Source organism: Homo sapiens, chromosome 6 (genome assembly GCF_000001405.40).
Source record: "Homo sapiens chromosome 6, GRCh38.p14 Primary Assembly".
Classification (NCBI taxonomy): Eukaryota; Metazoa; Chordata; class Mammalia; order Primates; family Hominidae; genus Homo; species Homo sapiens.
In genome coordinates, this window is record NC_000006.12 from 54920751 (window position 1) to 54947379 (window position 26629).

A 26629-nucleotide genomic window follows, 5' to 3' on the forward strand; every position below is an offset into this window, starting at 1 on the left:
AATAAAAATCATACAGAAGGCTTCACAATCTTATGCAATTGTATGACTCAGTAGAACTTAGATATTTTCAGTATGCGTATTACTATCAGACACATTTTCCCAACACACTGTTTTGACTAGATATTCTCTTTTCTAGCACTTATATTGGTCTCCAGACCAAATGTAATAATGAATCATATTTTCAAGATCTTTCATAATCTGTATAAATCCTGTCTAACTAAATTTATTCCTTGCTTGTGAGCATAATGATCTTTGTATTTAACTTTATGTTAATTCAATAAACATTTGTTAGAATATTACCCTCATCTTCTTTTTTACTTTTGCCTCTGTATCTTTGCAGTACTAGCCTTTCACCTTGGATGGCTAAAAATAATTTTGCTCATTATTTACTGCTTATCCATGAAGACCTGTTGTCTCTTTCATTCTACTGTATTCCCCCCTTTACAACCATGTACATATAGATTATTGTTTTTTCTTTCTCTGAATTACCATTCCCGTGTATTACTTAACACTTGATTATGTACTTTCCTGAATGGCCTTACATTTTGCAATGCATATGAACTTATCAAAATATCCATTGACTATATATGTAATATATACTGTAGGTGTCCTCCGGGGTCTGGGTCACTTTGGGAAAATTTAGTACTGTAAGAAAGATAAGTGAAGAAAAATGTCCTTGGGTCAGGTTCTCGGAGACCGTTAATACTAAAAGATGTGAAGTTTTACTCAAATCTTAAAAATGACCTGGGGTAGCGTTCTGAAAGTTTTCTAAGTCTCATGTTTCCGATGAATGCATTTATTTATTTACCTTTTCGAATTATAATGCAAGAATTGTGAATTCATGACAAGAATTAATGAAGAAGCAAGTACATAATTTAAGAAATATATAATGTCATGGTAGTTTAATGAACACCAATTAATAGAACTGGTTTCTTGATTAATATAATAGATTGATGTACCTTTTGAAAAGCCTTATACTAATCAGGCATATAATTTTTCTTCAATTATATATAGCCATGTGGCCATGTGTGCAACACAGTGTAATTTTGATAACTAACCAAGCATGTAATAATTTCAGATCAGATTTGGCATACCTCATTTCTAATTATTATTCTTTCCCAGGAATGTAACCCATCATTTAAAAAAAAAAGTTACATTATATTTTGCCTTTTGCAGCATAGCTAGAAGTTACTGTAGATTTCATGTAATTTTTCCACACATCAAGTGAGAGTACAAAGAAACAGAAGCCCTGAAAAGCAACCTGGCTTGGTTGACATCAGATAAGCTTGTCAGAGATGTATAATCTAGTCTTCTGGATGCTGATCCAGCGTATTATTTTGTCATGCAAGAAAGACTGTCATTTGTTCTGCATTTAGTGTGACAGAAACATCCATTGGCTGAGTGACTTCAATTACTTTTTGCAAACAAAATCCTTTATGTATCCTAGTAATGTGTTTTTGTTCACTTCCAAAGTCTAAAGTAATGTGTTACATGCAGACTATCTGGCAAATTAAAAATAAATTTTTAAATATGCTAATTAAAGAATACCATGTTGTACAATACTGTTTCTGTATTCAAAAAATTCTGATTAAAAAAATTAGTGCCAGACTGCACCAGACATATGTTTTTATAAGTTATTTTATAAAATAAATGTGAAATATGGACTTTAAAAATCTTAATGCCTATATATCATTACACCCCTCATTAATGCATAGCTAATGCATTAAATTAATAATTTTGGGTATGATTTTAAGACTTTTTATATATTTGACATTATGAAAAGTATTCTCAAACATGAATGAGACTGTTATCACTGGTTTCTCCCTTCATCTGGCTCCTCATACCATTTATAAATAAGAAAAAGGTTGTGGGAAGCTACTGGAATGATTGAAATTGTTCTTTCTAGAGAAAATCTGATTGGAGTATGTTTCACAGGTAGTTTGAAGAATGTTATCACAGATAAAATTCGAGCATGGTCCAGTATTTTGTTTAAACACTGTAATTAGCGTAAATAAAATTATTTCATATATTATCCATAACTTTGCTCATCTTCTAAGGTATTCACAATGTATCCATTACATTATGCTGTATATTGCCATTTGCCTATTCTCAGGTCATTCCATTCCCCCTCATTTCTTTACAATTTTTGTTTTCTGGTCTCTGTCACTCTTTTCAACATTATTCATCTGACTACCACCTCTGCTTCTATTTTTGGCTTACCATCTCTAGTATCTGCTAGTAAAAAATACTCTTGTGTTTTTAATTTTTTAATCTTTATGTTATAAAAACTTTCAAAAGTAGGAAGAATAGTATATGGAGCCCTTATGTACAACCAACTAGCTTCAACAATTATCATTCACGGCCATTTTTTTCATCCATTATAATGGGAAGTAAATATAAGGCGTGATGTTTTCATCTGTAACTATATTAACATGTATATTTTAAAGATAAGATATATATTCAATCTTTAACAATAATCCTTTAATATCTAATGTTCTTTAATGCCAGCAGGATCTAAAATTCATTTATCCTACCTTCATTTCACTGCCTCTCACATTCATGACATCTTCTCTCCTTTCTATATCAAACTTAAAGCCCATGATCAATCATTTCAGCCACTCCATATTATATACACCTTCAATCTCCCTGCCCTCTTTCAATTTGTTACACACTCATGGCAGAACCACAGCCATGGCTAAATCAGACTCTGCCTACTCCATTCCTAGAGGCTTGCCACCAAACAGCGTTGAAGAATAACTCACAACCACATTGACTGGTCCCATATTAAATTTATGACCTGGTGAGTCTTAAAGCTAACCATCAATCATATTATATTTTCTTAGTCTATTTTATTTTCTACTCTCCTAGATGACTACATAGTACCCTTTTCCTCAGATCTCTAAAATGTCTTCTGGAATCTTCACTCTGAGTTGAAGACCTTGCTTCCCACTACACTGAGAAAATCAAAGAACTCAGAAGAGAACATCCACAGCACCACTGCCATGCTGTCTCCCCCAGCAGCATCTGCACCTTTATACTTAGCCCTCTGGCTTCATATAATAGATGACCAGTTACTAGTCTTTACTTTACTTTCTGTGCTATAATTTTCTTTTTTCTTTTTTTTTTTTTAACTTTTGCACTAGACTCTATACCTTATTGCCTACTAAAAGATATTGTTCCAGAAATTCTCCCCTTCTCCACCTCACCTCCCACCTTCTCTTGCACTATTAATTTTACTCTTTACTGTAGCATTTCATTAGCATAAAGACATACCGTTATTTCTCTCACCTTAAAATATTTTTAGATTCTACATATGAGTGACATCACTCAGTATTTGTCTTTCTGTGTCTGCCTTATTTCACTTAAAATAATGCCCTCCGGGTTCATTCATGTTGTAACAAATAGGATTCTTTTTATGGTCAAACAGTATTCATTTATACACACACACACACACACACACACACACGCACACACCACATTTTCTTTGTGCATCTGTTGATGGACACCTAGATTGAGTCTCTATCTTAACATCATGTTGTACATGATGATTACACACAATTTTATGCCAATTAAAAAATAAAAAGTACAACTTCTTTTGATTCAGCTCTACCCCCAACTACTGTTCAATTTCTCTGCTTCCTATTGTAGCCAAATTACACAAAAATAGTTTTCTGTATCTTCTATATCTAGTATCTGCCCCGATTCTCTCTTAAATGCCTTCCACTGAGGCTTTTGCTGTTCCTTCTCCACTAAAACTATTCTTGGCCTAGCAGTAGGATTTGAACCTCTCAAGTTCACCTTCCTTCTTACAAATGCACTGTCTTTATTGGTGTTCAGTATTCCACCTGCCCTGTGTTTCCTCAGTCTCCTTTGCTGGGAATTTTTCTGGTATTAGACTTCTTAACTTGGAGTGTACCAGGGCTTGATTCTTGGTCTTCTTCACTTTTTCTCCCTTTTCTCTCATACCTTACAGTCAGTCCATCCACAAGACCTTTGGACTCAAAGATATCCAGTATCTGGCTATCTCTTTTCATCCCTGACACTACCATCTTGGTCCTACACACCGTCACCTCTCACTTCACTTGCACCAGTAGTTCTAACTGGCCTCCATGTTTCCATCCTTGCTACCTTTTTTAAAGCCTATTCTTAACACAGTAGCCAGAACAATCCTTTCAAAACATAACCAGATCATTTCATTACTTCAACTCAAAGCCCTTTAATAGCTTACAGTCTTATTCAGAAAAAAAGATACTGAAGGCTTTTAGTGACTTTAAGACATTGTGATAACTCTCCCATTCTCATTTCATTCCTGCTATCTCGTTTCTGTTTTTTGGATTGCCAGAGCAAAGTTGCTGGTTTCCTCTGCCTGCAACAGTCTTCTTGAAGATATCAATGTGGATAATGTCATTTCCTTTAAATTCTATTCAAAGGACACTGTCTCAGAGAGACCTTCCCCGAAACCCCCAAACTCCTCCTGAATTTCCAGGAACCCATGATCCCCTATTCTGCTCTTTTTTTTCCAAAAAACCTATAGCTTGTTATATAATTGACTTATTTATTATCTTTATTACTTATTATGTCTTCCCCCACTAGAATGTAAGCTTCATAAGGGCAGGATTTTGTTCTTCTTGCATGGCCCATAGTAGGTGGTCAATAAATATGCCTGGCACATAGAAGGTGGACAGCCACTTAAATGATTTTTCCCCTTCTGCTAGCATTATTTTACTTTCATTCCAACAATCAACACAGACTCTACATCTTAGGGACCTGTTCTTTAGGGCATTTTCCTTCTAAATTATATCACCTTTTTAATTCACTTTTTTCTTTTGCTTATTTTATCTGCTAAAGTAATTTTAGGCAAGTACAGCTGGCCCTTAAACAACATGGGTGTGAACTGCTTCAATCCACTTTTTGCAGATTTTTTTCAACCAAACATGTATAAAATACTCCAGTATTTAAGGGGTGTGAAACTCACATATATGGAGGTCCTGCTTTCCATATACGTGGGTTCTTCAGGGCTGACTGTGACTTGAGTATGTGCAGATTTTGGTATATGCAGAGGTCCTGGAACCATTCCCCCAGTAAACTGAGGAACAACTGTATATTTAATTTTTTGGTCTTCAAGTCATCTTATACTCTTTCTCCATCTTTCATCCTTTCCTAGGTATATTTCTATTTCTAGAATATTTTTTTCTCTGTCTCAGTTCCCCAAGACTTTTATTCTTAATGACTGGTTCAAAAAAATCCTACTTTCCCCTGGAAATGCCTCTTAGAAAAATTGTAACACTGGTTTCCACCTTGTCCTGTTTGTCTACCTTACAGGCAGTCTTGAAATCCATGATTTGGATTTGCCCATTTTTCAAAATCCTACTGAAATGCAGATTTCCTTTAAATTAAAGCTAATATGAAAATGACTTAGTGTACAAATCTGCATATAGTTATTTGCTTATTTTAATATGGTTTTATCTTCTGTTTTAGAAAATGAAATGAATATTTGTATATACATACATATATGTATTTAATTTTTAAAATTTTATCTGACCTTTACTGAAAGTAAGCAATTTCTTAAATCTTTCTCTATCAAGGATCTAAAATTGTTTCATATTCTTATATTTAACAGGTCATTGCTTTAGTGATGGATATATTTACAGATGTGGACATTTTCAAAGAAATCGTTGAGGCATCAACTCGAGGAGTATCTGTTTACATTCTGCTTGATGAGTCCAATTTTAATCATTTTCTAAATATGACTGAGAAACAAGGTTGTTCAGTTCAGCGTCTCAGGGTAAGAATTCTGTTTTTTTTTTCCTCAAGTATTTTATGTGTCATTTTCAACTCAGTCAAATGTAAGGCATCTTAAGGTAGATGAATATAAAACTGAAAAACAAAAAAAAATACGTATTTAAGGTTATGGAATGATTGATCACAGAAAGGTCCCCTGTACTTTTTAGAATGCAACTGAAAGCACATCTTCATGGGAGTGTTTGTTTGTTTGTTTTTGAGACGGAGTCTTGCTCTCCCTCCCAGAGTGGAGTGCACTGGTGCATTCTCAGCTCACTGCTACCTCCGCCTCCCAGGTCAAGCAATTCTCCTGCCTCAGCCTCTCGAGTAGCTGGGATTACAGGTGCCCGCCACCATGCCCAGCTAATTTTTTTTGTATTTTTAGTAGAGACGGGGTTTCACCATCTTGGCCAGGCTGGTCTTGAACTCCTGACCTCGTGATCCACCCAAAGTGGCCTCCCAAAGTGCTGGGATTACAGATGTGAGCCACCGTGCCCGGCCTTCATGAGGGTTTTATATTGTGCTTTTCCTGATTAATATTTAATACATCAGTTTTGCATGCACAGCTTTGAAACCAGTGACTCTGGTGCTTCTATGGTTCAGCATGTATTGCTTATTAGAATCATTTCACGTAGTATTTTCTGTTACTTTTGACTTTTTAAAAGGAAGGTTAATTTTAATTTTAGTTAATTTATCATCAAGGCATTATAACCCAAAAGGGTTTTTTATAGTGAGAGGCTGAGTGATCTTTGATGCTATTCTGTGTAAATGTAAAGTGAAATCTCCTATTTAAGCTATATTGAAATGTATATTTTAAATGATTATTTTCATTAAGGATTTAATATTTGGGAGTTTTTTTTTTAATTACCTTAAGTAAATTTTTTTATATTAAGATTCTATCATGATATGGATTTTGGTTTTCAAAATATTCTTTTCCTAGCCATAATGTCTGCTTTTTATTTACATATAATTCTAGAATATTCGAGTGCGAACAGTAAAAGGCCAAGATTATCTTTCAAAAACAGGGGCAAAATTCCATGGAAAAATGGAACAGAAATTTTTGTTAGTTGACTGCCAGAAAGTGATGTACGGTTCTTACAGGTAAGATCATTGTGTTTAACTTCAGTGTTATCAATCGTTTTGATGATTTATTAGTTTCAAATTTTAATATAATCAGTTAAGCTTTTTCTTAAAAGTAAAAAAAAAAAAAAAAAAAAAAAAAAGAGAACACTTGCATGGAGATTAGAGACCTAGGTTTGAGTCATGAGTCTGCCACTAAAGAGCATTAAGATCTTATGCAAATCATATAACTTCCTTGAGCTTCAGATTGTTCATCCAGAACATGAAGACATTGACCAATATCTAAGGTTCCCTACAGCTCTGTGGTACTAAAAGTGGTTTTGCTCCTTATGGAAACATTACATAGTATGGATTTAGTTACAATCGTTTGTAAAAACAGAAGCTATTTACCACTTTAAGTAATCTGGTAAATGGATTTTTCTTATTTTGTATTCTTAAGAATCTGATCAAAGCAGAACTGGCAACCCAGTCCAGGTGAGGCTGGCTCGAGAGTGTAAACACTGCCCTAATACTCTCTTGTAAATAAATCCCCTGGCTTCAGTCCTGAATCAGATACATAGTGAGGCTACATAAACAGGCAGATAAAAGCACCACCAAATACCCATGAACTGCTAGGTCACTGAGGCAGGGTAGAGTCATTATTAAAGACTGAGGGAAGAATCCAGAAGAGCTATGGATGTGAACACGACTGTGTAAGGCGAAACCTTTGTCTCCTGTCTTAGTAACAGAAAGTCCATGAGAAGGAGGTATCACATTGAAATGGTGGCCTTGAGCAAATTACTTTATTTGGTTGCACTTTAGTTTGCTCCGCTATAAAATAAATCATAGAACTGGCCTCATATCATTGTTGTGAGGATTAAATGAGTTCATGCATCCCAAACCCCTAATGTTAACTACTATTTTAGGACTTGATTTGTTACTTTCTGCTAACTCTCTCTTTAAGCTCGGGACCTTTTTAAAAAAACATGCTGTTTGGAGTTCCAAATGAAAACATATTAACAGCAGAAAATACAGCTAGTGCTTGAAATTCGTGAGTCCTTTTAAAGACTCATTATATGTGAATATATTTGTCCAGACCCACTTGGTTTTGGAGAGTTTTTAATTGAACTTTTAATTAAAATTGAGAGTTCACTTGACTTGTAGAATCATTGTTATTTAAGGTCATCATAATTAATAGTTTCTATGGTTATTATTTAAGTTTTAAGATTATCTTTGACAGTAAATTTACCTCAGCTTTGTTTTGCTGCCACTAGATATTAATAGTTGCTAGTGTTGCAATGACTATAGTTGAGCTACTTTTGATTAATGTGGGGGAAAATCAAACAGCAGTGACAAAAAAATTATATATCTCTATCTTTCTGTCTATATCAGAAGCCAGAGGCAGAATTTAAGTTACTATTTATGATAGTAACTGTAGAATTCCTAGGACCATGGATTATAAAAAATTTATCACAACTCTTAACTAACACTCTATTCTCTGTGTTATCTCAAGTTCATTTTAAATATATTTCTTTAAATAATTTATAGTTGTAATCATTGTCCTTTTTATTTTTTCTGACATTATCATGGACCTTTCCTGTTGCTAACAATATTCGAACGAGATGTGGTAGACTAGTTTTGAACTAGTTTGGTTAAAAGTGAATTTCCTTTTGGTTTAAAAACAGCCTTTGTCCCTCACATTCTGGTATTGCTATTGTTTTCCTCATAGGCAAGTTGAAAATGCCTTCTTCTTTAATTCAGTATTCTTTGCCATGGGATATCATTGGATTCTAAACTCCTACCATTCCTGGAGAGGCCCAGAATCTGTATTTACCACAGTTACACATTGTGTGACAGCTCACTCACATGCTGATGATTTTATCAGGAAAACATGAGGAGTTTTTTCATAACATGATACTAACATTGATGAATGTTTAATAAAGCATTGTCTATAAATCAAACTGAGAGATAATTTTATAGGCTTTTTCATTTTTAATCTCATGAGCTCAATGAAAGTTACTTTCAAAAGACAAATTGGCTGAAGTTGGCACCTCTCAGGTTCCATTTTTAACCACACATAAAAATCATCACAGTTGAGGTCCATGCTGCAACCAGCATACTGTTACTATTTACATTTGATGGACTTTAAGCCCCCAGCCAGGAACTCGGAATTTTTAAGTCAACTTCATGACTAATATCTGACAGTGTGTGTTTAGTGGAGCTGGGAGTAGACAGTTTTTTTTTAATCCATGAAAATATTTGCACATTTTAAAAAAATCAAATATTACTAAAATATGTGCAGTACAAAACAGTGACTTTTGTTTTCCATCTCTAGCCAACTCTGGTCCTGATCTCCAGATGCAGTTGCTCAATTCTTTTAGTTGGTTCTTCTGATATTTATTTCATCCCTTAAATAACATGATTATGTTATTCTTTTTTGATTTACCAATTTCATATATTATCTTGGCTTTTTATTTTTGGAGAATTGTATTTACTACCTACTATTCCTTCTTGTCTGCATTATAGTTTTATCACAATTTTTGGTTAAATGAGAAGTCCAGGTCTACATTATTGAAATTGTGTCAAAATGGATCACTGATGAGCCATAGAGTGATGTACGTTTCTTTTTTCGAAACAAAGTTAATAATGGCCATTTTGTTTTTATTAATTGTGTTTGTTTTCTATTTATCTATTGCTACTTCTTTCTCCAGTTGACCACATAGATTTTGCAGCACATGAATGATTTTCCCAAATGCTCAGTTACAACCAACCATCTATGACATCCCATCTGAACTAGCAGGTCCTTAAATTGGAAGCACACCTGGGGGCCTGGTATTTTTCATATTTCTAAGTGATTTGATCCATGATTTCTTAAATCCTGTATTTCCTCATTTTGTTTCCAAGTCTTCATTTTTCTCCCAAGATTGCTCAAGGACTTTTAAATTAAAAAATTTATAATTCTAAGTCATTTATGGCTTAATGTGGGATGGAACTCTAAGTTGAACCATTTTTCCTCCAAATTGGTAAGGTATTACCCCATAATCAAAGTTGCTGCTGAGAAGTTTCAGCAATTATTATTAGTCACATTCTTTTCACGCAGCCATGTTTTCTTTCTTGAACCTTTCAGAATTTCCCTTTTTTCCCTATTTGTTTTTGTTTTTTCTAGTTTCTTGAGGTATAAAGCTAGGTTGTTGCGTGAGATCTTTTAGCTTTAAAAAAATGTTTTATTGATAAAAATACATGTACATATGGTATAGGTCATATTTTTCATATTTTATTACATGCATAGACTAGGTAATATTAAGTCAGAGGAGATATTTTTGCTTTTTTAATATATGTATTTACACCTATAAACGTCCCTCTTAAGAGTGCTTTTGCTACATCTCATAAATTTTGATATCTTGTGTTTTTATATTCATTTGTCTCAAGGTATTTTCTAATTTCCTTTGTGACTTCTTCTTTGACTCATTGGCTACTCAAAACTGTGTTGTTTAATTTCCACATATCTGTGAACTTTCCAATTTTCCTTGTACCATTGATTTCTAGTTGTGTTCTGTTGCAAGTAAGATACTTTGTGTGATTTAAATCTTCTTTAATTTGTTGAGGTTTGTTTTGCCTAACGTGATCTGTCTTGGAGAATGTACCATGTGTACTTGAGAAGAATGTATATTCTGCTTTTGTCAAGTGTTCTCTATGTGTTTGTTAGGTGCTGTTGGTCTGTACTCTTGTTCAAGTTGTCTGTGTTCCTTTTGATCTTCTGTCTCATTGCATTCATTATTGAAAGTAGAGTATTGAAGTCTCCTACTAATACTGTGTTGCTGTCTGTTTTCCCTTTCAATTCTGTTAAAGTTTGCTTTGTATATTTAGGAGCTCTGAGGTTTGCTGCACAAATACTTATAATTGTTATAATTGTTATATCTTCTTGGTGAATTGACCCCTTTTTTATCACATAATATTCTTCTTTATCTCTTATAAGTTTTTTATTTTAATTTAAAGCCTGTTTTTCCTGATATTTTTACAGCAATTCCTGCTTTCTCTTTTGGTTACCATTTGCATGGTGTATCTTTTTTTATCCTCTTACTTTTAGCTTATGTATGTCCTTAGATCAAAAGTGAGTCTCTTGAAGATAGCATATATTTGGATACTGTTTTTTTAATCCATTCAGTCAATTAAAGTCTTTCAATGAGGTAATTTAATTCATTTACCTTTTAACCAATTACTGATGGAGAAGGACTTACTATTGTCATTTTTTTTCCATATGTCTTGTAACTTCTTTGTTCTTTTTTCCCTCTTTTACTGCAGTCTTTTGTGTTTTGTTTTGTTTTTTGCACATACATGCTTTGATTATCATCTCATTTCCTTTTGTGTATATTCTAAAGATATTTTCTTTTCAGTTATCACTGGAATTACATAAAACTTTTTTTTTTTTTTTTTTTTGAGACGGAGTTTCACTTTTGTTGCCCAAGCTGGAGTCCAATGACACAATCTCAGCTCATTGCAACCTCCGCCTCCCAGGTTCAAGCAATTCCCTTGCCTCAGCCTCCTGAGTAGCTGTGATTACAGGTGTGCACCACCACGCCTGGGTAATATTTTGTATTTTTAGTAGAAACTGGGTTTCACCATGTTAGCCAGGCTGGTCTCGAACTCCTGACCTCAGGTGATCTGCCCACCTCAACCTCCCAAAGTGCTGGGATTACAGGCGTAAGCCACCATGCATGGCCTTACATAAAACATTTTAAAGTAATAGCATTTTATTTTAAACTGATAACTTCAATCACATATGAAAACTCCACACCTTTATAGCTCTATTCCTCACTTTACATAATTGTTGCTCCAAATTACGTATTTATGTATTGTATAGCAATGAACACAGATTTAAAGTTACTTTTTATATTTTTCACATTTAAATTCTATGAACCACATCTGCAATAGTACAGGTCACTTCATTTGTCTACATATTTACTTTTACTGGAGAACTTGATATTTTCATAAGGCTTTGTGTTGCTCTCTACCATCCTTTTATTTCAACTTAAAAAGATTCACTTTAGCATTTTGTGTAGAGTAGATCTCCTAGTAGTGAACTCCCTCATTTATCTGGGACAGTCTTAATTTCTCCTTCCTTTTGAAGGACAGTTTTGCTGGATTTTTGGTGTTTTCAGTGTTTTTCTTGTAGCTCTTTGATTATGTGGTCCTGCTTCATTGTAGCCTGCAAACTTTCTGCTGAGAAAGTCACTGATAGTCTAATGGAAGCTCCCTTGTATGTGACAAATCACCTTTCTTTTGATGCTTTCAAGACTTTCTGTCTTTGACTTTAAACAGGTCTGATTATAATGTGTCTTGGTGTAATTCTTTTTGGATTTATCCCAGTTTGAGTTCTTTAAAATTTGTATGTCAATTTTTTTTCCTCAGACTTGGGAAGTTTTTGTCCACTATTTCTTCAAATAAGTTATCTGCTTCTTTGCCTCTCCTCTTTCTGAGCTTCTCATAATGCAATATTGATCTCCTTGGTAGTTCTATAAATTCTTTAGTATATCTTTGCTTTTCTTCATTCCTTTTTTTTTTCATTTTGCTCTTCTGACTCAATTATATCCATGACCTGTCTTCAAGTTTATTCATTATTTCTTCTGCCTGATCAAGTCTGCTGTTGAATCCTTCTAATGAATTATTCAGTTATATTATTTTTTCAGTTCCAGAATTTCCTTTTAGTTTTATTTTATAGTTTATCTTTGTTGATATTCTCATTCCATTGGTATGTCATTTTCCTGATTTTGTTTACTTGTCTGTGTGTGTGTGTTGTTGATGTTTTTTTTGTTAGTTTTGTTTGTTTTTAGCTCATTGAGCATTTTTATAGCAGTTATTTTAAATATTTAATCAGGCAGCTTATAGATCTGTGATTCTTTAGGGTTAGTTTCTGGAGTTTTATTTTATTTCTTAGGATTGGGCTGAGTTTCCCTGCTTCCTCATATGCCTTGTAATTTTTTGCTAGTATTCAGACATCTTAAAAATAATCAGTCACCTCTCCCAGTCTTTGTATACTGTCTTTGTTCAGGGAAAGACCTTTACCATTCAGCCCAGCCACAGATTCTAGGACCTTTCAAATCTTTTCTGACCTCTCGTTCCTTTGGTGTCTGCCCATGGAACTGCAGGTTTAACATGCTGCTTACCTCTATTTTCAATGATTTCTAAACTCTGGTTCCAATCCTACCAGCACTCAGGTAAGATAGAAGCCAGTCTCTTGGGCTGCACTGAAGACAAGCCAGAATTATGATCCACAGTCTACTCTTTTGTTTCCATCCTGAGGGAGGACCCCCAGTCTGGGGGCTGGGGGAAAAGTTTCTCTCTGTTTGTTTCATGCTGTACCATATGGGGGAGGAATAGGAATGAGCTGGCCAAACATCACAGGTTTTTCAACCTGTATGGCTGGAATATAATGTTCTGGGTGCTCTATCTTTTCAATTGGTCGCTAGCATTTCACAGAGGTCTTCTGTTTCACATATTGTTGTTAACTAGTGTCTCTATGGGGTACGTAGGGCTTGTAACTTTCTAATCTGCCACTTTACTGACCTTGTGTTTGTGTTTTCGGAAGTATTTTTATTTGTAGTTTGTGTCTGTTTCTTCTAGGTGCCATTTTCCAGCTTGTTTTGATCTATGATTGCATCTAAGCTCTTAAGCTTTATAAGCTGTCTTTGAAACTTTGTTTATTCATCTGTTAATCTTTGTTATGTGTTTATATTTAAGAATGAGGGACTGTAAAGCTGATTAGAAACTGAGCGGGAAATGCTTATCAACGTTTGAGTTTACAGCTGAATGATAGACTGGGGACCTGGCAACTTTACAGGAGAATCCCCGACTATCAATATAAATATCACTTATCTGGGGTTTTTCAATGTTTCCAGAGAATAATGTCTTTCTCCAAAAGATTGTCAAAGGAGATGGAATTTGGAATGCAGTCAGAATATGATCCTAACTGAAGATATTCTAGAAGCAGAATGGGAAAGAGAGCTGAGGGTCTGATAAGTCTCATTTTTAGCTCACCTTTATCCCAGTCATGGTTTGTTTAAAGTTTCTGAGTTCAGACTTTCTCTGGATTGGTTTCTGCTGAAGTAAACCTTAGATTCCTGAAAGGGATAGGAAGGAGTGCTTCATGGGAAAGGAAAGAGTAGGGAACCTGGAGGCCCAACTGCTCTATATGAGACTTTCAATCAATCTTCCTGTTTCTCTATTTTCATGACCTTTCTAACCCACCATTTGTAGTACCTTTTGATCCGATGTTGAATTCATAAAGATTCTGCTGGGCCCATCTGGCTTATTCTCATTGCTGCTCACCTCATGCAAACTTCCTATAAGTCAGCCACCACTTCTCCATCAGATTTCTCTGTTCTAAACATTTATTAAATACTTTCACTTGCTACTTCCCTTTTCCCTTTGCTATCTTTTTAGTATTGTGTAGGAAAGAAAAAGAAATAAACCTGCATGATAATCCAGATTTAATGTAAACCTTTTAAGTTTTCCACCAACATAAACATCTTTGCCTTTTAGTCTTGATTTTGAAACTAATAGTTCATTTATATTATCATTTGTTTATTTACAACTAATGTTTTTAAGTGTTTACAATATGCCAAGCACCGTTCTTAGCCCCTGGAAGTGCAGTCCTAAATAAGGTACACAAGATTGCTGAGCTAAATTTTATTTTAGTGGGCACTGGAGACAGACAAAGGGAGAACATACAAGAAACCATCTGATAGTGGTAATGGGGTATTGTATAAATGAAATCAGGGGAATATGATAAAGCATGATCAGATGGATACTTTGAATAGAGTGATCATAAATGTCTTCTAAGAGCATGTCAGCAGGGGAAGAGATATATTGAAGAGGGAACAATAGATAAAAGATCCTGGGGCAGATATCTGGGGGATAGCAGAAAGGCCAGTGTGGTAGGACCACATTAAGCAAGGGAAGAGCTATCCATAGTAAAACTGGAAAGCAGGCAGGGTAGGAATTATCTTAGGCCAGGTAAGGAGCCTGAATTTTCTTTTAAACAAAACAGAAAGTTCTGTGTGGAAGTGTGACATGACCCAATTTGTTTTATGCAAAGATCACTTCTGCTGTTCTGTTGATTGAAAAATGAGCAAATGAGAACACTAAGAGTCAAATTAGCCGAAAATGCTAAGACTAGGGTGATAGTGGGATAGGACTGATTTGTGAGAAGTTTTGCAAGCAGAGTCAACAGGACCTTTTGGTTCTGAAAAAGAGGGCATTCAAAGATGACTGCTTGTTTCCTGTCTTGATCACCTGAAAGATGGCTGAGTCACTCACTTAAGCAATACTAGGGAAGGAATAGGTCGGGGAAGGAGGAGTGCTAGATGACAACTTATGAGTCATACATGTGAGGCTTGCAAGGCCCACTAAAATTTTGGGTAGAGATTGGACACAGATTCCAGAGATGAGGAAGAGGTCAGCACTGGCAATACGGACTTCGGACTTCATAGTTAATGGCATAGAAATCACCTACGATAATAGAGGAATACAGAGATCATTTCCAAGCCCTGAAGCATGTCTGTAGGTTTTCAGATTTACTTACTGAATATATTCAATGAATGTCTTCCTGTTGCCTGAAACTTTATTACAATATTATTTTCTGATTTACTATAGCAGGGAAACTTTTCCAATTGCCACACATTCACCAACACCGTATCTTCTTAGTTTTCTAACCTCAACACTTGGAAGTTGTTTTTATTTAATAACGTATGGATGTTCTTTTGACATGAAGTCTTTTGGTTCTTTCTTTTTACTACTGGCTCAACATTTTCACTCATTATTCCTATTTCTACTTTGGTTGGGCTCTTACTTTTAAGTCTGTACTACAATAGTACTACAAATAGCTACTAGAAAAAAATAGTTCCTCAAACATCTCTTTCTATTATAATTTATCCAAATTTGGAAACAAATTCTACATAATCGAACTTTCTGTTTTGTTTTCAAGATTTTCCCCACTAGTTCATCAGTCTTTTATATGGCTTCTTTGCTCCAGCTATATATAGTATGTTTTCTGTGTTCAACTAGAACATGACCCTTATTGCATTCTTCCCTTTTCCATATTTCTCCCTCCACACAAATTGTCTTCCCACATCTTTTGTGTCTGAACTGGGAATCTAGTCTTTATCAAAATATTGCAGAACTTCACTTTCTTCATGGATTTCCTCATACTTGATAGTTCACTGTTCATTCCATTACTTGATGTTTCTAATATTTTGAATTCATACCTTTAGTCAGATTGAAAATTTCTTTAGTTACTTACTTTTATACCATTTCTTTTAAGTCAGCCCAGTGGCATAATAAATATTCCTTCTGTATCATGCTTCCTATAGGCATACTAGATAAAATTAAGCATATCCAAATAACAAGATTCTTAAGTTACATGCTCCTGTTTGTGATATGTAATATTTTGTTTATTTTAAATGTTTAATCTGCACATTCTTTTAATTATTTTCCTGCATTTTTATTGTCTCCTTTATAGAAATAATAAGATGCTTCAATGTGGAGAGTGTCTCTTTTTTCTTTTGTATTAACCCCCATTGTGTCATATACATTACTTTATGCATAGCATAATAGCAATTCATTTATTTTTCAGTTCAGTTGACTGTATATTAAATCACTAGATTTTCAAAAATCAGATTTAAAATTTGATATGAATTTTAAAGGTAGCTGTTACCTCTAAACTCTAGGAAAGGAATTGGAGCTTCCATAAAGTACTATAAAGTCATACAGACATTAATTTCCTAAAAATTGTATTTTATATTAAAAGATCCTGATTGGCATTTTGACTGGCATGGTTTCTGAAGCCTGCATTTACTAATACTATGTACAGTGAGTACAGTGAATTCTGCCCTTTAATGATTGAGGCAGCTGGCCACAAATCCTGTTTACAGCTCTTGGCATCCTAAATTACACTTATTGAGTAAACCACAGAGATAACAGTCTGAAAATTTACCGACTCTTAAAATACATGCATTAACACAGCTGTATCTTACATTATATCATGTTACAGCTATGAGACATTGTAGCTATTATGCTGTCCGTATCCTTACATTGGACACGAGGAAAGTGAAGCCCAAGCTCATGTGTCTACAATTCAGCAGAAACCAGGCCTCTTGACTTTTTCTCCAACACTGGCTTTACTGCATTCTGCCAAGATGGTATATATAAAATATAATATCAGTTTTTATGCCACGAAGTTTTGACACAGATGTAAAATACACAGCAAATTTTTCTTTATTTTTTTTAACATTCTATTTTATTTATGTCATTAGTGTTTGGGGAACAGTTGGTTTTTGGTTGCATGGATAAGTTCTTTAGTGATGATTTCTGAAATTTTGGTGCACCCATCACCCAAGCAGTGTACAATATACCCAAGGTGTAGTCTGTTACCCCTCACCCCTCTCCTACCCTCCTTCTCTAGTCATTATATCATTCTTCAGACTTTGCATCTTCATATCTTTAACTCTCACTGATAAGTGAGAATATACAATATTTTGTTTTCCATTCCTGAGTTACTTCACTTAGAATAATGGTCTCCAGTTCCATCCAGGTTGTTGCAAATGCCATTATTTTGTTCCTTTTTATGGTTGAGTAGTATTCCATGGTATATACATACCACATTTCTTTATCCACTTGTTGGTTGATGAGCATTTAGGCTGGTTTCATATTTTTGCTATTGCAAATTGTGCTGCTATAAATAGGCATGTGCAAGTGTTTTTCATATAATAACTTCTTTTCCTCTGGGTAGATACCCAATAGTGGGATTGCTGGATTGAATGGCAGTTCTACTTTTAGTTCTTCAAGGAATCTTCCTACTGTTTTCCATAGTGGTTTTACTAGTATACATTTCCACCAGGAGTGTAAAAATGTTCTCTTTTCACCACATGCATGCCAATGTCTATTAGTTTTTGATTTTTTAATTATGGCCATACTTGCTGGAGTAAAGTGGTACCTCATTGTGGGCTTAATTTGCATTTCCCAGATAATTAGTGATGTTGAGCATTTTCTTTTGTATTTTTGTTGGTCATTTGTATATTTTCTATTGAGAATTGTCTATTCATGTCTTTTGCCCATTTTGATGGGATTATTTGTTTTTTTCTTGCTGATTTGAGTTCCTTGTGGATTCTGGATATTATTCCTTTGTTGGATGCATAGTTTGCAAATAGTTTCTCCCACTCTGTGGGCTGTCTGTTTACTCTGCTGATTATTTTGCTGTGTAGAAGCTTTTTTGTTTAACTAGGTTCCATCTATTTTTCTCTGTTTTTGTTGCATTTGTTTTGGGGTTCTTGGTCATGAATTCTTTGCATAAGCCAATGTCTAGAAGAGTTTTTATTATGTTATCATCTAGAATTGTTATGGTTTCAGGTCTTAGATTTAAGTTTTTGATCCATCTTGAGTCGATTTTTGCTTAAGGTGAGAAGTGAGGATCCAGTTTCATTCTTCTACATGTGGCTTGCCAATTATTCCAGTATCATTTGTTGAATAGGGTGTCCTTTCCCCACTTTATATTTTTGTTTGCTTTGTTGAAGATCAGTTGGCTGTAGGTATTTGGCTTTATTTCTGGGTTCTCTATTCTGTTCCATTGGTGTATGTGCCTATTCTTATACCAGTAGGATGCTGTTTTGGTAACCGTAGCCTTGTAGTATAATTTGAAGTCAGGTAATTTAATGCCTCTAGATTTGTTCTTTTTGCTTGGTTTTGCTTTGGCTATGCAGGCTCTTTTTTGGTTCCATATAAATTTTGGGATTGTTTCTTCTTATTATGTGAAAAATGATGATGGTATTTTGATGGGAATTGCATTGAATCTGCAGATTGCTTTTGAAAATGCACAGCAAGTTTTTCTTTGGACTTCTGGAAAGTAGTGGATTCAAAGCCAAAATTTGAGTTGCGTTGTTATTTAAAATAGGAACATGAGGATGGGAAAACATGTAGTGCATGTAATGACGGAAAATATTCTAAATAATGATAGCCAAAGAAAAGTACAAAAACATAGTCATTAAGTGATACTTTTTTTAGTAGAACTATATGTTATTATCAATCTTTTAAATGATTAAAATTTTTCCATTTTTTTCCCCAGTTATATGTGGTCATTTGAGAAAGCTCACCTCAGCATGGTTCAGATAATTACAGGACAACTTGTTGAGTCCTTTGATGAAGAATTTAGAACTCTCTATGCCAGATCCTGTGTCCCTAGTTCATTTGCTCAGGAAGAATCAGCAAGGGTGAAGCATGGAAAAGCCCTCTGGGAAAATGGCACTTACCAGCATTCGGTGTCTTCATTAGCATCTGTTTCCAGCCAGAGAAACCTTTTTGGTAGACAAGACAAGATTCATAAACTAGATTCCAGTTACTTCAAAAACAGAGGGATATATACTTTAAATGAACATGACAAATATAACATAAGAAGTCACGGATACAAACCTCATTTTGTTCCTAACTTTAATGGTCCAAACGCAATACGTCAGTTTCAACCCAATCAGATAAATGAAAATTGGAAAAGGCATAGTTATGCTGGGGAACAGCCAGAAACAGTGCCATACCTCCTGCTTAATAGGGCTCTGAATAGAACCAATAATCCACCTGGTAATTGGAAAAAGCCATCTGATAGTCTCAGTGTGGCGTCCTCATCACGGGAAGGCTATGTAAGCCACCACAACACACCTGCCCAGAGTTTTGCCAATCGGCTTGCGCAGAGAAAAACAACAAATCTTGCAGACAGGAATTCAAATGTTCGGAGGTCTTTTAATGGGACAGATAACCATATCCGCTTTTTGCAACAACGAATGCCAACCCTTGAACATACCACAAAGTCATTCCTACGTAACTGGAGAATTGAATCCTACTTAAATGATCATTCAGAAGCTACACCGGACTCAAATGGATCAGCTTTAGGTGACCGATTTGAGGGCTATGATAATCCTGAGAATTTGAAGGCCAATGCCCTTTATACTCATTCTCGGCTTCGTTCCTCTTTAGTATTTAAACCCACTTTACCTGAGCAAAAGGAAGTTAACAGTTGTACAACTGGCTCCTCAAATTCAACTATCATTGGTTCTCAGGGAAGTGAGACACCTAAAGAGGTCCCAGACACCCCTACGAATGTACAGCATTTGACAGACAAACCCTTGCCAGAATCAATCCCCAAGCTCCCATTGCAGTCAGAGGCACCAAAAATGCACACCTTGCAGGTTCCTGAAAACCACTCAGTAGCCTTAAACCAAACTACAAATGGCCATACTGAATCAAATAACTATATATATAAAACCTTGGGTGTAAATAAGCAGACAGAAAATCTAAAGAATCAACAGACTGAGAATCTACTTAAAAGGCGAAGTTTCCCGTTATTTGACAACTCAAAAGCCAACTTAGATCCTGGAAATAGTAAGCATTATGTATATAGTACACTTACCAGGAATCGAGTTAGACAACCAGAAAAGCCCAAAGAAGATTTGCTGAAAAGTTCTAAAAGCATGCACAATGTGACTCATAACTTGGAGGAGGATGAGGAGGAAGTTACCAAGAGAAACTCTCCAAGTGGCACTACTACCAAATCAGTTTCCATTGCTGCTTTACTTGATGTGAATAAAGAGGAATCTAACAAAGAACTTGCTTCAAAGAAGGAAGTTAAGGGTTCCCCAAGTTTTTTGAAAAAGGGGTCTCAGAAGTTAAGGTCATTACTTAGCCTTACCCCAGATAAGAAAGAAAATCTATCCAAAAATAAAGCACCTGCCTTTTATAGATTGTGTAGTAGCTCTGACACATTAGTTTCTGAGGGTGAAGAAAATCAAAAACCAAAGAAATCAGACACAAAAGTTGATTCATCTCCTAGAAGAAAGCATTCTTCCTCATCGAATTCTCAAGGCAGCATCCACAAGAGTAAGGAAGATGTAACAGTTAGCCCATCTCAAGAGATAAATGCTCCACCAGATGAAAATAAAAGAACACCTTCTCCAGGTCCAGTTGAAAGCAAGTTCTTGGAAAGGGCAGGAGATGCCTCTGCCCCAAGATTTAACACTGAACAGATCCAATACCGAGATTCAAGGGAGATTAATGCAGTTGTTACCCCTGAAAGAAGACCTACTTCTTCTCCAAGGCCAACGTCCAGTGAGCTTCTACGATCTCATTCAACTGATCGGCGTGTTTACAGTCGTTTTGAGCCGTTTTGTAAGATTGAGAGCTCTATTCAGCCAACAAGCAACATGCCAAATACCAGTATAAATCGCCCAGAAATAAAATCTGCGACTATGGGCAACAGTTATGGCAGGTCTAGTCCATTGCTTAATTACAACACTGGTGTTTATCGCTCATATCAACCCAATGAGAACAAGTTTCGAGGATTTATGCAAAAGTTTGGAAACTTTATACACAAAAATAAATAGCTATTAAAATGCAAAATGAATGAGGCTATCAATATTTGTCCAAAGAAAATTGTGGACAGTCTTTGTAACATGCCAATAGATTTTCCTAAGGACAGAATTATGGGTATGATGTATATGTTCACCAGTGTCCTAGTATAAAGTTATTTTTCTGTGTGATAAAGTTAGGGTCTGCTGTAGATAGAATTTCTCTGTAAACACATTATTTGTAAGTGGTAATGGTAAAAATAATAGATGTATTTAAATCATTTTCTTTAGACTGAAGATTTTAAGTCTCACTTAGAAATTTTTGTGGACGATGTATGGTGTATGGTGTATGGTGTATGGATTTTAACCATTTCCTTTTAAAAAGGTCATACTACCCTCAGTAACCCTTTATAACATGTGTTTATAGTGTTTTCATATCTTCAAAAATATAAGCAAATGGGACAAAGCCCTTTTTTAAGATTAACTTGAAGTTCTACGGGATAACTTGTTATATTTTATTAATATTATTTTTTCTGTGGATCATTGTACAGCTGTTTGGGCAACAGCAGTACCTTTTACATTTTTTATTTTTTATTTTTTTTTCTGCCTGAAGTGTTTGCAAAGTATCAGCCTCATGTAGTATAATGACATTCGTAGGAATTTATTTTCCTCAGCCTTTGAAAACGGTCTGGGATGTGCTTCTTTCTACACTGGACCCAGGGAGCTGTCCCCCTCTTACCCATAGGCTGCTGATTTTTTATAGTCATTCCTTACTTCACATTTAGGACAAACCAGTAGGAATTTAGAAAATCTGAATGATTCCCCCTCCTTTTTCTATTGTATAAAAGCTTTTAGAAATGTAAATTTCTGCCTAAATTTTTGTTAGATTGGCATGACAATGCTAAGGGGTCTTGCTTGCGAAAATTCTTGCTCTTTTTTTTTTTCTTTTGAGATGGAGTCTCGCTCTGTCACCCAGGCTAGAGTGCAGTGGCGCAATCTTGGCTCACTGCAACCTCTGCCTCCCAAGTTCAAACGATTCTCCTGCCTCAGCCTCCTGAGTAGCTGGGATTACAGGTGCGCACCACCACACCCGGCTAATTTTTGTATTTTCAGAAGAGATGGGATTTCACCATGTTGGCCAGTCTAGTCTCAAACTCCTGACCTCGTGATCCTCCCGCCTCGGCCTCCCAGAGTGCTGGGATTACAGGTCTTGCTCTTCTTTAAGTTGTGCCAAATATGATATGACTGCATAGTGTTTTTGTAAGAATACCATTGGGAAAATGAGAAGTTTTACTGGGCTAGTTCTTCCATGATTTGAGGATGATATTCAGATTATAAGATACCCTTTGTCTTTCTTACAGTAATGAAGTATAAGCTCCATATCTGTTCCAGAGACTTTAACTTGACTTTGCTTCATTCACAAAGAACAGAGTTCAAGAAGCAGTGCATCCTGTGAGAAGTGTGAAGTGTTTGTACATCACTTTAAATATATTACTTAATATATTCTAAGTTGCTGTGTGGAGCAGTATACTGTTGTTTTAAAAATGCAAGATTCAGACAAATTTTAATATTGTCTCATTAAAATAATTTAAATAATGGTATAAAATATCTATATCATTAAAATAATTTTCCATAGTGTTTAGAAACCATGAAAAAGAAAACATAGCAGGAGAAAATATGACAGGAAAAGAAAACCTAACAAAGCCCAGAACCCACAGTTAACCAAACTAGACTGACTTTGTTATTACCCATTCTTTGTTAGTATTGGATAGGGAATTAGGATAATGAGCCATTAGGCAGTTCTGAAATGGAAAGCCCTGAAATTTAGTGCAATGTAACTTTAAAACTGAAATTATATAAAGAGTAGAAGTTTAATCATGTTTAATTACAACCAAAAGCCTGTTGCCTTTTTGTACAGAAATCTCCTTAATTTCAGGACATGTAGATAGCTTATAGAAACATCCTTTTAAATAGTTTGTGAGCTCTTCCTCTTCAGTGGAATTGAGGAATACAGAATGCTTTATTTCATCATCCCCTGACAGGTGACTTAGGCTTTGCACAGCAGATTTATTTTTCTCTGCGTTTTTTAAAAATTGTTTTTCTTGTATCTTTTTTCTTCAAAAATATCTATATTTGAGAATATGTACATAACAACTTTCCAAAGTCTCTGTGGCCAAAACCTCTCCAGGGATAAGACTGAGCAAGAATATAATACTTCAAAAAATGTACAGCTACTGTTTAAGTTTTAAACAGACACCATCACAGTTTGTGGATGAAATAGTTTTAAGCCATATACTTTCTGTCTTTTTTTCCCCATATTAATATTGGGGGGCGGATAATATCACTTTGATGTACATTGATATTAAAGTTTGGTAATGCAGCTTTTACTGTCTACATGGTACTGTACATTAGTTTTTAAGCAGAAACACAAGAAAAATGGGTATAATTTCAAAGTAGTTCTTGGCAGATGGCTAGAGAATACTGCAAGTGACCCTGTATCCCGAATACACAGATATCCCTCTATTACAAGTTTGGGATTAGCCATAATTCTGACATGGTGTGTTCAGGTATGGGTATATGTTGTCAGTCTACACTTGTGGAAGCAAATATCTTGTTTAATCAAGATGATGTCTAGTGTCACCTAAATAATGCAAAAAGTTTAATTCTGGATGAATTCAGCTTTACTCAAGATCCACATATTCAAGTATCATTCCACAGATATTCACAGAACACAGAAATATCTGTGTTCTGCCTTATGCCTGTGGCTAAGGGATGCAAAGTAGAATTGCTTTACATTGACTATATATGTGACATGTACGTTGCTGTTTTTTTTAAAATAACTTTATCATGATATTCAGGTAGATCCTGGGTTCTAGAATATTTAAAACAAAAGGATAAAATGATAAACCAAAGAGTCAACTTGTTAACTTTTCTTTTTTAAGAGATGGGTTTTCACTAGTATGCCCAGTCTGGACTCCAAGTCCTGGGCTCAAACGATCCTCCAGCCTCAGGTTCCTGAGTAGCTCAACATTTTATGTATGTACGATATTATAAAGAAATATTCTTCCAAATGAACTTTTGTTTTTAGATCAATAAATGAATAATAAATAATTTTGTACAAACATCAATATATTGTAAGCTATTGTTTTTTTAAATCTTCATACTCTGCATTTCTGCATTCAAGCTCAGTCTTTCACTTAGTTATTCTAATCAGGAATTTAGATGTGTACATATTTTTAAATGTTTTTTCCATGAACTTGGAAATCACATGTAAAACATTGTTTTGATTACCAATTATATTTTATATAGTAATTTATTCATATTTGAAATTCAGTGGCGATTCTCTTCCTTTAAGCAAAATATTATATATACACATTCTCTTTATTTCTATTATACTGTAACATAGTGGTTACTTTAAATAATTTTTTACTTTTTTTTTTTTTTTCAAGATGAAGTCTTGCCCTGTCACCCAGGCTGGAGTGCAGTGACACGATCGCAGCTCACTGCCACCTCAGCCTCCTGGGTTCAAGCGATTCTCCTGCCTCAGCCTCCCAAGTAGCTAGGTTTACAGGCACCTGCCACCTAATTTGTGTATTTTTAGTGGAGATGAGGTTTCACCATGTTGGCCAGGCTGTTCTCAACCTCCTGACCTCAAGTAATCTGCCCCAACTTGAGCTCCCAAAGTGCTGGCATTACAGGCATGAGCCAATGTCCTGGCCTAATTTTTACTTTAAAAGATGGAGAATCTTTAAAAAGGAAAAAAAAATGATGGTTGACTTCTTTATAACTTCATAGCATTTGGTTTGAGTAAAATATTCTATATGTGCATTTGTATTAATGACATTAAGTAACCTACAGTCTGAGAGTTAGTGAATTAAAACTCAGAATTTATTAGAAAAAAATATCCTTTTTATCACAGCTTATGAGGTAGTTGAAATAGTGTGTATTGCAGATTAAAAGTTGTGTCCTTTTAAAGGCAAATGTGCTTTTTAACTAATTAATTATAATGAATGGTAGAACAAATTAATCATAAATGCCAATGTTTAAGAAAATCCTACTTCAGTTAGAATAGTAAGGGAAATGGATAAGACTTCACTTTTGTGGCCATCTGAAAGGAAAGTTATAAATAGGTTCAGTTGGTTTAAGGAGTCAAAGACCATCTTGAGTAATTGGACCTGGGAAAGACGGAAGGGCATTGTAGGGGATATGTGTGTATCCTGTCCAGGGAAACACTTGACATAACGAGAATTACCCGAGCTTCAAGCAGTGAGAAAAGCAAGAGATACACAGAAGAATATTTCTGAGTTAACAAAGGGGTAATAAGTTAAGTTTGGACATTCCTCCTATAATATTAATGTTTCAACAATCTGGCTCATTTATTTAACACTCATACTGGGGACCTACTTTGTTCCAAGTGTGTAGGTTATAGTAGGCTTTTGATGGAAAAAATTAAAATAAAAAAAAAAGGGTTGTCTGGATAATCAGAGGCTGCCAGCAAGTTTTCATACATGTTTTAAGAATACCCCAAACTTACGGCAAAAGTCTATGTTACTTGAGGGCTATTTGTCCTAACTTGTTACTTAAATGTACTCCTAGTGCCTAAAAAGGGTGCACATAAAAGATACCTGATAAATACTTGATGTGGGAATCCAGTCATTTCCTTAGCTGCAGTTTGGAGAAGATAATAGTCCATTAATATCCATACATTAAAATGGGTATTTTATAACTACCTGAATAGGCATTTGTATTAGAAGATGTAGATAGGTTAATGCAGCAAGGGTTCTAGTTTAAACTTCAGCCACATTAACCCTAGAATCTGGGCATCTTTAAAGACCCAGAAGTGCTGGTCTTCCTAGGGTATATTTTTGTGCAGGAAAGAAAACCCCTGATGAATTCATCCTGAAGGAAAAAAGAGTAGAGCTTAGCAAATTAAGTTCAAAGGCAATTGGCACATGAGGGAAGGGAGTGGTGATTTTGTGTTAGTCCTTTAGATTGTCAGCTAACATGGGCAGGTTGTGTGGGAATCTTAATTGAAGAATGGCTCCTCTAAAATCTCTATAGTGAAAACTCCTGGTGTCAGGACTGACAGCAGCGAGCACCTTCACTGAGGACCTCAGAACACTCGACCTATTGCTTTGAACAGCAGCCCTTGTGCTCTTGTTGAAAGGTTATAACAACTGCAGATACAATATACAAAATTTGAGTTTGACAGAATGACCACTATTTTACTTTCATTAGAAAGGTAAATTTAGAGTCGGGCGTGGTGGTGAATGCATGTAGTCCCAGCTACTTGGGAGGCTGAGGCAGGAGAATCGCTTGAACCTGGGAGGCCTAGGTTGCAGTGAGGCGAGATTGCGCCACTGCACTCCAGCCTAGGTGACAGAGCAAGACTCTGTCTAAAAAAAAAA

The 26629-nt window shown here is 35.2% G+C and overlaps 1 protein-coding gene across 5 annotated transcripts in view, besides 2 other annotated features; it reads left to right on the top strand.

Moving 5' to 3' along the window:
- Positions 1-24349, top strand: part of FAM83B (family with sequence similarity 83 member B) — a 98897-nt gene extending 74548 nt beyond the window's left edge. For all 5 annotated transcript variants that reach the window (XM_017010478.2, XM_006715022.4, NM_001010872.3 and 2 more), the window contains exons 3-5: positions 5621-5785; positions 6758-6882; positions 18956-24349. In XM_017010478.2, coding sequence (XP_016865967.1) covers positions 5621-5785; positions 6758-6882; positions 18956-21257 — 2592 coding nt within the window. In that variant the 3' untranslated portion in view covers positions 21258-24349. The remainder of the gene's footprint in view (positions 1-5620; positions 5786-6757; positions 6883-18955) is intronic.
- Positions 8861-9155: an enhancer, noted in NCBI's record as "tiled region #2673; HepG2 Activating DNase matched - State 5:Enh". NCBI's record gives its function as "activates a minimal TATA promoter and a strong SV40 promoter by Sharpr-MPRA in HepG2 cells {active_cell/tissue: HepG2}" and the evidence as "EXISTENCE:reporter gene assay evidence [ECO:0000049][PMID:27701403]".
- Positions 8861-9155: a silencer, noted in NCBI's record as "tiled region #2673; K562 Repressive non-DNase unmatched - State 24:Quies". NCBI's record gives its function as "weakly represses a minimal TATA promoter and a strong SV40 promoter by Sharpr-MPRA in K562 cells {active_cell/tissue: K562}" and the evidence as "EXISTENCE:reporter gene assay evidence [ECO:0000049][PMID:27701403]".
- Positions 24350-26629: the final 2280 nt, after the last annotated feature.